The sequence below is a fragment of the Homo sapiens genome, chromosome 9 (assembly GCF_000001405.40).
Source record: "Homo sapiens chromosome 9, GRCh38.p14 Primary Assembly".
In the NCBI taxonomy this organism is placed as follows: domain Eukaryota; kingdom Metazoa; phylum Chordata; class Mammalia; order Primates; family Hominidae; genus Homo; species Homo sapiens.
The window spans coordinates 76568025-76582923 of NC_000009.12; the positions used below are offsets into that span (position 1 = coordinate 76568025).

Genomic DNA, 14899 nt, shown 5'->3' on the forward strand with positions numbered 1-14899 from the left:
TAAATGGCATTTAAAGTCATGATCCTGTGTGAGATGACCTGAGGAATGAGTCTTAATATAGAAGGGAATTGGCCAGGCACAGGGGCTCACGCCTGTAATCCCAGCACTTTGGGAGGCCGAAGCAGATGGATCACTTGAGGTCGGGAGTTTGAGACCGGCCTGGCCAACATGGTGAAACCCCATCTCTACTAAAAATACAAAAATAAGCTGGGCATGGTGACACATGCCTGTAATCTCAACTACTTGGGAGGCTGAGGCAGGAGAATCACTTGAACCTGGGAGGCAGAGATTGCAGTGAGTGAGCCAATATCGTATCACTGCACTCCAGCCTGGGTGACAGAGCAAGATTCTGTCAGAAAGAAAGAAGGAAAGAAGGAAGGAAGGAAGGAAGGAAGGAAGGAAGGAAGGAAGGAAGGAAGAAAGGAAGGAAGAAGAAAGAAAGAGAGACAGAGAGAGAGAGAAAGAAAAGAAAGAAAGAGGGAGGGTGGGAGAGGGAGGGAGAGAGAGGGAGAGAGAGTGAGAAAAGAAAAAGAAAGAAAGAAGAGAAGAGAAAAGAAAAGAAAAAGAAAGAAGTGTCAATCAGGTCGAGGGTGGCTAAGAGGTAGAGTCAGTTGAACTGGAAGTCATGAGTAGAGTTAAGGACTGTTTGGCTGCCATGGTGACCATGAAAATCTAATTGGACTGGGTTCAAGAGAGAAGTAAGGACTTTTTCTCTTCTTTTAAGAACATTTCCTATTATTTTTATTATTAATATTTGGATTTCAAATAATTTTAAAATCATTATCTTAATACCAAAATATAATGATATTCTGGTAGGTTAAGAAGTTAAATGAATGCTGAATATTCAAAACACTTAAATAAATCTGTTATTTGAAGAAACTATAAACACACTTCACTGAACCAAGTGTAAAACAGACTGTGATCTTCTGGAGTTTACCTTGAAATATTTGTATAGAAAAGTGAGTAGTTCTACTCTGAAGGACAGCAAAGAAATGGGGTAGTAATTGGCAGGGATGAGTGAAGAATTTTTTTTTAAGATGGGAACTATTAGAGCATATGCAGTAGAGAGATAAAAATTGATGGTACAGGCCCGGTGTGGTGGCTCACGCCTGTAATCCCAGCACTTTGGGAGGCTGAGGTGGGCAGATCACCTGAGGTCAGCAGTTGGAGACCAGCCTGGCTAACATGGTGAAACCCTGTTTCTACTAAAAATACAAACAATTAGCTGGGCGTGGTGGCACATGCCTGTAATCCCAGCTACTCAAGAGGCTGAGGCAGGAGAATTGCTTGAATCCAGCAGGCGGAGGTTGCAGTGAGCTGAGGTTGTGCCATTGTACTCCAGCTTGGGCAACAAGAGTGAAACTCCATCTCAAAAAAAAAAGATGGTACAATAGCCAGATGGAGACAACTGTTGGAGCAATGCCTCTGTTAGATGAAAAGGTATCTAATGAGTATCTAACGCACAAGTGGCAGGGTTGACCTAAGACAGGAACAGATGTTTCTGCCAGAGTGGCAGAAAGAAGGGAAGCCCGTAAGTGTAGAGAAGCAGGGAGATTGTTTGTATCGGGGTAGATGTGTGTTCTTGCACTTGATCTTCCAGTTTGGGCTCCACAGTGTCCTTCCATTCATCTATTGAATTGTTTTGTTCAGAAATCATGGTCTTTTGGTCTTTCACTCTATAGAGCACTCTGTGTGCTACCCTTGAATCTATCCTTCATGCTCTTATTATTTCCAGAGTCAAGATGCTGTCTTCCTCCTGCAGCACTGCTATTTCTCTGGGCATATGTTCTATTCATTTGTGTTGACCTTCCCTCTGAAGGTTGGCTGCTTCAGAAAAATGCAGCCCCTCAGGTGAGTTGTAGTTTTCTTTGTTGGCACTTTGAGATAAGATCTAGTGGTTTGGGTACTCTAAATGGCAGGGCATGCAGAAAACGTTACTTCTGTTCTCCTGTGGTACAAAGGCAGTCGGGTGTCAGTTCCTGCTGAGGAACCCAGAGGAAGATTCTCTGCTGTCACTCTATTTATTTACTGAGACAGATTTTCACTCTGTCGCCCAGGCTGGAGTGCAGTGGTGCGATCTCAGCTTATTGCAACCTCTGCCTCCCAGGCTCAAGCGATTCTTGAGCCTCAGTCACCAGAGTAGCTGGAATTACAGGCACATGCCACTACGCCTGGCTAATTTTTGTTTTATTAGTACAGATGGGGTCTTGCCATGTTGCCCAGGCTGGTCTCAAACTCCTGACTTCAAGTGATCTGCCAGCCTTGGCCTCCCAAAGTGCTGGGTTTACAGGTGTGCACCACCACACCCACTGTGCTCTCACTCTCATCTTCTTAAAGGATGGGGGGTAGGGAAACCCCAACCCACCCATTGCCTAGCCTTTCCACATCTTGGGCTTCAGGAAGAACTGGCACATTTGTGTTGGTTCAAATACCTGGCCAGGCTCTCGTTAGGATCCCCTTTTTACTTGGTCCTTACTGGGTGCTCTTGCACAGTGGTACCAACAGTTGTCCAACCCATGGGACCCTATAAGCCGCCAGGGCCTTGCCTGCATCCAGTACCTGATAGAGTCCAGTAGCTATGTTACTAAGGAGGGTCAGTAGGCAGACAGCAGTTGCTCCTCCACTTCCTTGACTTATAATGATAAACCTATTGTAAGTCAAAAATGCATTAATACACCTAACCTATCAAACATCATAGCTTAGCCTAGCCTACCTGAGTATGTTTCCATACTCAGAACTCTTGTTAGCCTACAGTTGGACAAAACCATCTATAATACAGTGTTAAACATCTCATGTCATGTACTGAACACAACACATTAGAGTACAGTATCGGTTGTTTACCCTCGTGATCAAGTGGCTGAGTGGGAGCTATGGTTCCAAGATCAGGATGCCAGCAGATCTGGTGTCTGATGAGGCTTACTTCCTAGTTTTTAGAGCAGCAACTTCTAACTGTGTCCTCACATGGTGGGAGGAGCAAATGAACTCCCTTGGACCTATTTTATAAGGGCACTAATCCCATTTGTGAGGGCCCTGCTCACATGACCTAATTACTTCCCTAAATGCCCCACCTCCTAATGTGTCAGCATAGGAGTTAGTATTTCAACATAGAAAGTTTAGGGGGACACAACATTCAGACCACAGCAGATGATTATTTAAAACATGGAAAAGTACTCATGAGAAAATAATAAGTATTGACTGAATACATAAAACATGCCACATACTGGGCTAAGTACTTTACATCCATGATCTTATTTAAATCTCTCATAAACCCCAAGATAAGGGAGTAGATTGTTCCTGTTTGATACAGGAGGAAACTGAGGCTTATAGCAGTTTGGAAAATAACTTAAAGTCACATACAGTGGCAGAAGCCAGATGAGGAACTTGGTCAGTCAGTTTCAAAACCTGTGCTTAACCACTGTGCTACTTTCACACAGCACACAGAAGGAATCTAATGGCATGCTATGATTACAGCCGTTTAATACGGAGACAAGACTCATAATAGTTCATAATAGTCACTGTGTCAGGGTGGTGCAATTTTGTTTCGTTTTCCTCTGTTTTCCAAAGCTATCCTTGAGGAAACTTTTTCCTAGTGCAAAGCTTTTCATTGGGATGGTATGTTTCTTTAAATGGAAGGAGACTAATTTTACCATTTAAAAAGTGGTATTTATTTTTAAAAACATAAAAGAAATTCCTTTTCAATAATAATGAGATGGGGCATCGCCGCGGAGCCTCGGTTGGCCTCGGATAGCCGGTCCCCCGCCTGTCCCCGCCGGCGGGCCGCCCCGCCGTGCGCCGGGACCGGGGTCCGGGGCGGAGTGCCCTTCCTCCTGGGAAACGGGGTGCGGCCGGAAAGGCGGCCGCCCCCTCGCCCGTCACGCAACGCACGTTCGTGGGGAACCTGGCGCTAAACCATTCGTAGACGACCTGCTTCTGGGTCGGGGTTTCCTACTTAGCAGAGCAGCTCGTTCGATGCGATCTATTGAAAGTCAGCCCTCGACACAAGGGTTTGTTAAAAAAAAAAGAAAAAAGAAAAAAGAAAAAAAGAAAGGGAAAAAAATAATAATAACAAAAGCAAATAAGTAATAATAATAATAATAATAATGAGATGGGAAATGTGGCCATGTGTTTTTCTTGTGCTTTTGCACATTCTCTCTAGGCTTTGTCTGTGGTCATGGAATAAGAAAAGCCTTTTGGTTGCCTTGTTTGGAATAGGTGCGGCTTTACTTCATTCTCCACCTGAGAGGGTAGTTTACTGCATGGGGCATTTTGTTTGCTGGGAAAAGAATCCATGTATGAATCATACCACTTAACATTTCCCTGCCAGCGCTGTGTGCATCTTTTGATGTGACATATTTTTGTTTGTTTGTTCTTTTCTATTTTCGTTGTTCTTCTTCTTAAAAATGACAACTAACTTTGTTTAAAAAAAATTGTGTTAAACAATCTCAAAGTTACAGACACTTTGTAAGAACAGTACAAAGAACATCCCTTGAACCAGTTGATAGTAAGTTGACTACCTTGGATAGTAAGTATCTCCCCTGGATACGTTAGTGTGTGTTTCCTAAAAACAGGACATTCTTTTACAACCATACTGTTTTTAAACTATGCAAGTTAACACTGTTGTATTACAGCAATTTAATCCTCAGACCGCATTCAAGTTTCATCAATTGTCCAGTGAATCCATCACAGTTAAAGAATCCACTTGAGAATCCTTTGTTGCATTTAGTTGTCAATGATTTTAGTCTTCTGTCTGCAGTGGTTAGTTTCTCTATCTTTCCTTGACTGTTCTGACTTGGGTGCTTTTGAAGATTACAGGCCAGTTATTTTGTAGAAGTCACTCAATTTGGCTTTGTCTGATATGGGACTCAATTCATTCAATTCATGCATCTTTGGCAGGAATTTCTCAAGTGACCCTTAATACTTTTTCTTTTTTGAGACGGAGTCTCGCTCTGTTGCCCAGGCTGGAGTGCAGTGGCGCGATCTCAGCTCAGTACAATCTCCACCTCCCAGGTTCACGCCATTCTCCTGCTTCAGCCTCCTGAGTAGCTGGGACTACAGGTGCCCGCCACCATGCCTGGCTAATTTTTAATATTTTTTAGTAGAGACAGGGTTTCACCGTGTTAGCCAGGAGGGACCCTTAATACTTTTTACTGGATCCTATCAGGGATGCACAAATTCAATTTTCCCATGACTGCTGATTGTTCACTTTGATCATTGGTTAAGGTGCTGTCTGCTTTTCTTCTCCATTAGGAAGTTACTATTTTTCCTGCTATCATTAATACATATTTTATGCAGGAGGTTCTATGTAAATATTCCATTCGTCCTCAAACCTTCCATTTATCCATATACTAACATTATTAGGACTCATAGTTTTCTACTTTATTTAAGGAGTTATAATCCATTACAACAGTGATTCATTTTGATGATGAAGCTGGTTTCTGTGTCCTTTTGATATATCTCTATCATTTCCTTGCTTTCTGACACAAGGTTCATACTCAAGTTTCCTACCTCAGTCCTGGAATCAGGACTTGAATCCTGGAATCCTTGAAATCTCTCCAAGAAGCCCTGGTTTCTTTTAGTGGAGAATGGTATCTAGAAGAGGAAATCTGGGCTGTGTTTATTGCTAAGAGAGATTCTCTTAGTAGACAGAGTTGGAGGATGTATGTAAGTATATAGCTGCATAAAAATATATGAAAGTATATACATACATACACACAAACACACATATACATTGTCATCTGTATTTTTTAATCTATCTATATTGAAAACTGTAAGTGCACCCCAATAGTTTTCTTTTTTCCACATCTGTGACTCTGAACTCCAACAGTTAAGAAATCTGGCTCCCATTATCCTTAAGTCTCCTTATTTGCTCAATCCCCCTGTAGGAAGCCAGTCTCCTATCAGAGCCACTGTCCCCCTTACCCCTCACACACCCTCCTTACCCTGTCCTTGCTCTGACCTGCCACCACCACCCCTCAGAAACTGCCCTTACCCTGCTTTGACTCGGTCCATGACATGCTGCTGACCCCGCATGGACATCATCCTCACCCCATCAGGGTTCTGGTTCCCTACCCAAGGGCTATGTGCCATGCAGTTCCCCTCCTTGGCCCCTTGGGCTGTGACTCCCTACACAAGGCACTCCCGGCTGTGGCGGTGTCATCCTTACCCAGCAGGGTCTCCAGGTCCCCATACCAGTTTGCGGGCATCTTCCTTGGACTCTACACCTATGCTAGGCTGTCTCTCCATGGGGCTTCCCTCCTCGTCGTGCTGGGGTTCCCACCCCCACTACAGGCACCCCTCTTAGCTGGAAGCCCTTCTTGTCTACTTAGGCTCTCTGATATACCAGGCTGTCCTCAATCATGAATACCCTCCTCACCCTGTTCAGGGGAGACACCTATGCTGGGCCATCACCCCTACTTCAGAGTAACCAACTTTCTCTGCCCTGCTGAATGACATTAGGACTGAATTCTTCCAGTAGAAAAGGGAAGAAGACAAGGAGAAAGAGGAAAAGAAACATGATGTTTCTTCTGAGCCCTAAATCATCACCACGACCAACCCTGAGTCAGCACTTAAGTTGACAGGAGAGTTGGCTTCTGATCAAGTATATTTTGGTGGCCACCTCTGGGCAAGGAGCTAAAGGCCTAAGTAATAAAGATCCTCAGGAGACAGGGCCTCCAGCTAGAAGTGAGGAAGCCCGGAGTCCAGTCCTGACCCTACCTTTTCCAGCAGTATTGTTGTTCTACCTCCAGTCCTTTGTATTACGGGGTGATAAGGAAATACACTAATCAACAAATAAGATGCCTGATAAGACTACCTTTCTCCAAATATATAACGTTGTTGTGAAAAGGAAGCAAGATTAGGTGTTTTGAAATGTCTTGAAAACTTTAAATATCTAGGCAAATGTGACATTTTTATAAGAAAAATATTTTGTCAGGAAATATTAATGTAATGGGAATTTTTATTAGGGCAATCCTATTATCTTTATGACTTAAAAAATTGATGTGAATAGGCTGGGTGCAGTGGCTCATGCCCGTAATCCCAGCACTTTGGGAGGCTAAGGCGGGTGGATCACTTGAGCTCAGGAGTTTGAGACCAGCCTGGCCAACATGATGAAACCCCAGTCTCTACTAAAAATACAAAAATTAGCCAGGCATGGTGGCAGGCACTTGTAATCTCAGCTACTGGGGAGGCTGAGGCAGGAGAATCGCTTGAACCCAGGAGGTAGAGGTTTCAGTGAGCTGAGATCGCGCCACTGCACTCCAGCCTGGGCAACAGAGTGAGACTTTGTCTGAAAAATAAATAAATAAAAAAATAGGCCGAGTGCGGTGGCTCACACCTGTAATCCCAACACTTTTGGAGGCCAAGGCAGGCGGATCACGAGGTCAGGAGATCCAGACCATCCTGGCTAACATGGTGAAACCCTGTCTCTACTAAAAATACAAAAAATTAGCCGGGCATGGTGGCGGGTGCCTGTAGTCCCAGCTACTCAGGAGGCTGAGACAGGAGAATGGCGTGAACCTGGGTGGCGGAGCTTGCAGTGAGCCGAGATCACGCTACTGCACTCCAGCCTGGGTGACAGAGTGAGACTCCATCTCAAAATAAATAAACAAATAAATAAAAATAAAATAATTTGATGTGAATAAAATATATCCCAATACATAGAGCTGAAAATGTGTGCTGGGGAAATAATATATGGGATGCCTGGGTGGAGGTAGGGGCAGTACACAGCCATAACATGCTAGATCCTGTGAGACCAGAACCCAGTAAGCTGATGGGGAGTGTGTTGAAGAGCTTCCAATTTAACTCAATTTGCCTGTTTAGCTGATTTCACTACTGTGAACTTTGAAACAGCAAGATTCCTCCTATGATCATATCCCCACCTCCAAATTTACTTCTCTTTATTTCATCTGTAGAAATAACCTCTGGGTTCTGATACACTTAGGAGCTTCTAGGGCTTCCCTTATCTTTACTGTCTACTGTCTAGATATGTATGGAATCTAGTTGAACTATCCCCTGTGTCAGTAAAAGAAGCTAACTAAATGGTATCTCTGGGTCTGAAGATTTCTTGATTCCTACGGCTTTCATTTACGCAAAAGGAAAGAACTTGATTTTTTTTCTGTATATTATGAATAAAATCTCATTTTTGGCGCTTTTATGAGATACTCTAATACATATTTAAATTGCTTTTCATTTATTCTTGGATTCTAGAATAATACGTTAGTAAGTACAAAACCAAACCAACAAAGAACCTCAAAACTACTAGCCCTACACTGATTACACATAAAGACTGGACTCTAACATTGCTCTGTGTTCTAAGGGGCCTGGGCTTCATTTTTAAGATTCAAGAAAAAAAGCACAAAAAGGAACCCAGCCCTTTCAAAAGAAGAAATGAGGATGAAGGTGGGGGAAGGCAGAGTTAAGCTAAATCTCCGTGCTAGAGAAAGAGCGTGTGTATTACAAGGAAGTGGTCTGTTCTAGCAGGCAGTTGGGCGATGAGGTTGAGGGAGGTGGAACAGTTGACTCATGGCTCCGTCTTGCATTTGGTTTGCTGCTAAGAGCCTTTAAAATTCTTAACTATTTCTGGGGGCTTTCTTAGCTCAGTAGTCACTGAGAGAAATGAGCTGAGCTAAGGAGTGCAAGGGGAAACAGGCTCCCTGAAGGGTGACCCAGAGGGTGTCGCTTTCTGGGCACTGGTTTTAACTGGATTGGATGACATTTGGGGATTAAGTCAGTCTCCTGGATATCTCATTATTCATCCATTTGTTCCTTTTGGAAATAGTTATTGCATACATAGGGTTTTCAGATGATTTAAACCAAAACACCAGACTCACAAAAAATTTATAGACAAAAATAATCATATTCCATTGATATGGAAAACTTATTGATGATCAGTTAAAGATGGTGGTTTCAACATCTATGTTTATCTCTGTTCTCTCCAAACATTCCAATAAAATGAAAATGGATGATTTTTTTTTTTTTTTTTTTTTTTTTTGAGACGGAGTCTCACTCTGTCGCCTAGGCTGGAGTGCAGTGGTGCAGTCTTGGCTCACTGCAAGCTCCGCCTCCCGGGTTCACGCCATTCTCCTGCGTCAGCCTCCCGAGTAGGTGGGACTACAGGCGCCCGCCACCACGCCCGGCTAATTTTTTGTATTTTTAGTAGAGACGGGGTTTCACTGTGTTAGCTGGGATGGTCTCGATCTCCTGACCTCGTGATCCGCCCGCCTCAGCCTCCCAAAGTGCTGGGGTTACAGGCGCAAGCCACCGTGCCTGGCCGATTTTTTTTTTTTTAAGGCACAAACCCATAAGGACAAAGAGACTTGGAGTGGAGGAAACACCAAGGAAAAATGGAAAGATGGAAAGCTGACGGATGAGTGTGAGCTGACCCAGCAGATTCGGTGAGGCCAACACCTAAGCTGGCAGTGAGGGAAAGTGAGTCATCCATCCTATTTGCACCACAGAACCACAAAAATGCTCAGAAATTGGGGCCACCAGGAATTTCTAAAATGAGGGTAAATGGGAAAACAGAGTCAGTCAAAAGTCTTTTTAAGAAGCAGTTAGGCCGGGCGCAGTGGCTCACGCCTGTAATCCCAGCACTTTGGGAAGCCGAGGCGGGCGGAACACGAGGTCAAGAGATGTGAAACCCCGTCTCTACTAAAAAAAAACTACAAAAAATTAGCTGGGCGTGGTGACGGGCGCCTGCTACTCAGGAGGCTGAGGCAGGAGAATGGTGTGAACCTGGGAGGTGGAGCTTGCAGTGAGCTGAGATCGCACCACTGCACTCCAGCCTGGGCGACAGAGCGAGACTCCGTCTCAAATAAATAAATAAAGAAGCAATTAGACTCCCAGCTTCCTTCTCAATGCCTTGCAGCAGAAGACCTGCCCCTCCCCTCACCTTTGCACTAGACTGGAAATTTAGTTTCTAGAGCTGTACTGCTCAATACGGCAGCCACTAAGTACATGTGGTTTCCGAACTCTTTAAGTCTGGTTATTCTAAATTGAAATGTGGGTTAAGTGTGAAATACATGCCAGATTCTGAAGGCTCGGTACAATTATAAAAGATTTTTAAAAACATTGATTATATGTTGTAGGCTGGGCTCAGTGGCTCACACCTGTAATCACAGCACTTTGGGAGGCTGAGGAGGATGGATCACTTGAGCCCAGAAGTTCAAGATCAGCCCGGGCAACATAGCAAAATCCCATCTCTACAAAAAATACAAAAATTAGCCAGGTATGGAGGCACATGTGTGTAGTCCCAGCAACTTGGGAAGCTGAGGCAGGAGAATCACCTGAGCCTGGGAAGGTCAAGATTGCGGTAAGCCATGGTAACATCACTGCACTCCAACCTGGGCAACAGGGCAAGACTCTTATCTCAATAAATAAGTAAATAATGGAAACATTGATTATATGTTGAAACAATAATATTTTTGATCAATGGGATTAAATAAAACACATTAAAATTAATTTCTCCTGTATATTTTTATTATTTTTTCATGTGACTGATAGAAAATCTAAAATGACTTCCGTGGCTCCCATGAGATTTCTGTTGGACAGCGCTGCTCCGGAGAGTATGAACCAATGGTGACTAGGGGACAAGGGGACAGCAGAGGAGTTTCCACACTGAGAATAGGTTGGTCAAGCAAAAGCTAAGATTAAAGAGAGCCCAGTCCTCTCTCTCACCCAGATCCCAGAGTGCTGGCAGCTAGTCTCCTAACCCACAAGTAGGAGATGGCAATATTCACTTCAGGGGAAGCTGACCAGCCTGAGGAAAGTTCTAAAGATGCAGAAGCAGACACCATCAGCCTTCTGCCCGTGTCCCTCTTAGCATCCACTTCTGCACCTAAAGATGGTTTCCTGCCAATTCCTGCAGCTTTCTTCAGGTGAACGCTTCTCTCAACCTGCAGACAGACCCAGCCAGAAGAGGCAGAGAATTCACAGGCTTCAAGGTGGTTGAGAAGGGCGTGGCTCTCTTGCTCTTCCATCAGGGAGAGGATCCTGAGGGGCGTGACCTACACTGACCCCCAGAGCCCCCCACAGAATTGAGCTCTGATTGTCCACCCATGCTGACTCCCTTCCCTTTCCTGCCACTTCTCCACCTCCCTACCAGGGTTTCCTGAGATGACCTCTGAAATAGATGACCTGAATGGGGCTCTCTGTTTCTACATCTGCTTTGAGGGAACCTCAGTCAAGACAAATTCTGATAGTTGGAGTTTCTCCAGGAAAACAGTCCAGCCATGTCATCCTAAAGGGAGGCCACCAGTGGATAAGCCTCATCTATACACAGAACTCTTTACTTTTATTTATTTATTTGTTTATTTATTTATTTATTTATTTATTTATTTTAAGACTGAGTCTCACTCTGTCGCCCAGGCTGGAGTGCAGTGGCACGATCTCGGCTCACTGCAACCTCTGACTCCCAGGTTCAAGCGATTCTCCTGCCTCAGCCTCCCAAGTAGCTGGGACTACAGGCACGTGCCACCATGCCTGGCTAATTTTTTGTGTTTTTAGTAGAGACGGGGTTTCACCGTGTTAGCCAGGATGTTCTCAATTTCCTGACCTTGTGATCTGCCCGCCTCGGCCTCCCAAAGTGCTGGGATTACAGGCATGAGTCACCGTGCCTGGCCTATTTTTTATTATTTTATATTATTTTATTTTATTTTATTTTTGAGATGGAGTCTCACTCTGTCACCCAGATGGGAGTGCAGTGGCATGATCTCAGCTCACTGCAACCTCCACTTGCTGGATTCAATTGATTCTAGTGCCTCAGTCTCCCAAGTAGCTGGAATTACAGGCAGGCACCACCATGCTCAACTCATTTTTGTGTTTTTAGTAGAGACGGGGTTTCACCATGTTGGTCAGGCTGATCTTGAACTTCTGACCTCAGGTGATCCACCCGCCTCGGCCTCCTAAAGTGCTGAGCCACCGCGCCTGGCCAGAGCTTTTTATTTTTTAATCTTTATTTTTTTATACTTGATCTTAGCCAAAAGGCTGAGAAGCGATTAATCTTTATTTTTTTAATCTTTATCTTTTCATCTGTATTGTATAATTGGTATCCAAAAAGCTGCACATATTAATATACACAATTTAGTGACTTTGCACATAAGGACTGTTAAAAGATAACTTTAGACAAATTAAATTTAACAGAGTTTAACTGAGCAAAGAACAATTTGAGAGTCGGGTACCCCACCCCCACCCATCAAACAGAATACCTTCAGAGCAACTCCAGGGCTGCTGCGTGGTTAAAGAGAATTTATGGACTGAAAAAGGAAAATAACAGACAAAAAACAGAAGTGAAGTACAGAAACGGCTGGATCGTTATAGCTCAGTGTTGGCCTCGTTTGAACACAGTTTGCACAGTCGACCGCCTGAGTGGCTGAAGTATAGCTATTGTTACAAGAGTAGGGTGCAGTCTGTTTCCACATCTGGTTAGGTTGCAGTTGACTAAGTATGGAGAAGCCTTTAGGCTGACTTAAAATACGTAAGGAGGCAGCTTTAGGCTAAACTTAATTTAGCAGTACTTACTGTTAATTACAGGCACTGTCTTACAGAGCAGATCTCTGGAACTTACTCACTTTTGTATCACTGTAAGTTTATACCCATTGAACAACAACTCCCCATCTTGCCCTTCCCTACCCCCTAGCAACCACCATTCTATTGTCTACCTCAATACCTTTGATTATTTTAGGTGCCTCAGATAAGAGAGATCACACAATATTTGTCCTTCTATGACTGACTTATTTCATTTAATAGAATGTCTCCCTGGTCCATCCATGTTATTACAATAGTAGGATTTTCTTCTTTGTTAAAGCTAAATAATGTTCCATTGTATGTATGTACTACATTTTCTTTCTCCATTTGTCCGTTGATGGATATTTGGGTTGCTTCCATATTTAGGCTACTGTGAATAATGCTTCAATGAACATAGGATTGCAGATATCTTTTCCAGATCCTGATTTCAGTTTTTTCAGATGTATACCAGAAGCAAGATTGCTGGGTCACATGGTAGTCCTGTTTCTAATTTTCTGAGGAAACTCTATACTCTTTCCCATAGCAGCTGTACCATGTTACATTTCCAGGAACAGTACGTAACGGTTCCCTTTTCTCTACATCCTCTCAGACACTGGTTTTTATATTTATATATAAAATACATTTTTATACATAAAAATGTATGTTACATACAATATATATTTAAAATATTTTTTAAAAATAGGTACTGTATATATATATATAAAGTATCTGAGAGGATGTAGAGAAAAATATATAATACATTTTATATATATATATAATGGCCATCCCAACAGGTGTGAGGTGATATCGCATTGTGGTCTTGATTTGCATTTCCCAGATGGTTAACAATGTTGAGCATCTTTTCATATACCTGTTGGTCATTTGTATGTCTTCTTGAAGAAATGTCTATTTAGATATTTTGCTCATTTTTTGATCAGGTTATTTATTATTTGTTTATTTTCTTGCTCTTCACTCAGGGTCTTTTAGAGTCGACTTTTAAATATGAGCAGAAAGCCCAAACAACCATTGAGGAAATCCTCTAATAATTCAGACAGTAACACAAAATTTTGGGTTCGTCTAAAAGTAATCATCTATTTATGGCTGATTTTTTATGACCTGCTTGTGCATGGGAGTGATATTGTGCCCTAACAATACTAAATGTGCAAAAGGATGCATGCATGTCTGTGTTTGTTTCACTAAACAGAAAGCTAAAACACTGGACTGTCTGCCTCATAGTTAATACCCAGCCACCCTCTGAGTACCCAGAAGGTACTCCTCACCTTGTCAGGTGCTAGAATGCAGACAGTAAAGTCAGTCCCTGATGTCCAGGAGGTATAGTCTCAAGGAGAAGTCAGATAAGAGGAGAAATGCTTACTGTGCAGTGGGATAGAGTCTGCACAGCAGGAAGGGAGCCCAGAGTGACCTTGAAACAAGCAGCTGTGGGGAGAGGCAAGGGGAAACATTTCCAGAGGGCAAGCTGGGTACAGCAGAAGGGACATTCCCTGCAGAGGGAGAAGAGAAAGGGACACATTTAGCAAACTGAAAATATCCTGCCAGGGGTGGTGGCTCACACCTATAATCCCAGCACTTTGGGAGGGCGAGGCGAGTGGATCACCTGAGGTCAGGAGTTCAAGACCAGCCTGGCCAACATGGTGAAACCCCGTCTCTACTAAAAATACAAAAATTGGCTGGGCGTGGTGGCACATGCCTGTAATCCCAGCTACTCAGGAGGCTGAGGCAGGAGAATCGCTTGAACCCGGGAGGCGTAGGTTGCAGTGAGCCAAGATCTTGTGCCATTGCACTCCAGCCCGGGCAACAAGAGCGATACCCCGACTCAAAAGAAAATATCCTGAGATGGCTGCAGTGAAGGGTGTGATGGAGAAAGTGTCCAGGAATGAGGCTAGAGGGAAGCCCAGGACACCACACCAAAGAGGTAGAATGATTTTCTAAAGAAACAAAGGCATCGCCGAAAGGCTCAGGGTGACATCTCTCTGAAGAGAGAGCCCCTTCAATAGCCTCCACAGTCTTTTCTTTCTTTTTCTTTTTTCTTTTTTCTTTTTTTTTTTTGAGACAGAGTCTCGCTCTGTCGCCCAGGCTGTAGTGCTGTGGCGCGATCTCGGCTCACTGCAAGCTCCGCCTCCCGGGTTCACGCCATTCTCCTGCCTCAGCCTCCTGAGTAGCTGGGACTACAGGCGCCTGCCACCACTCCACGGTCTTTTCTTAAGGGCAAGATGTCTCCCTTTTTGCAATCTGCAGAGGAAATGGAAACGACCACTACTTCTGTATCTTTTCAAAGAGAAAATGCCTGGGAATGTGGAACCAGGTATAGGAAGGAGACGGAGCAGGTGTCTAGCAAAACTGAATTGTGCTCTTTAAGTCAGCCCTTTTCCCACACAAG

General features: G+C 43.7%; 1 annotated feature.

Moving 5' to 3' along the window:
- Positions 3274–3353: a silencer, noted in NCBI's record as "silent region_19963". NCBI's record gives its function as "represses an Ori minimal core promoter by ATAC-STARR-seq in GM12878 lymphoblastoid cells {active_cell/tissue: GM12878}" and the evidence as "EXISTENCE:reporter gene assay evidence [ECO:0000049][PMID:35858748]".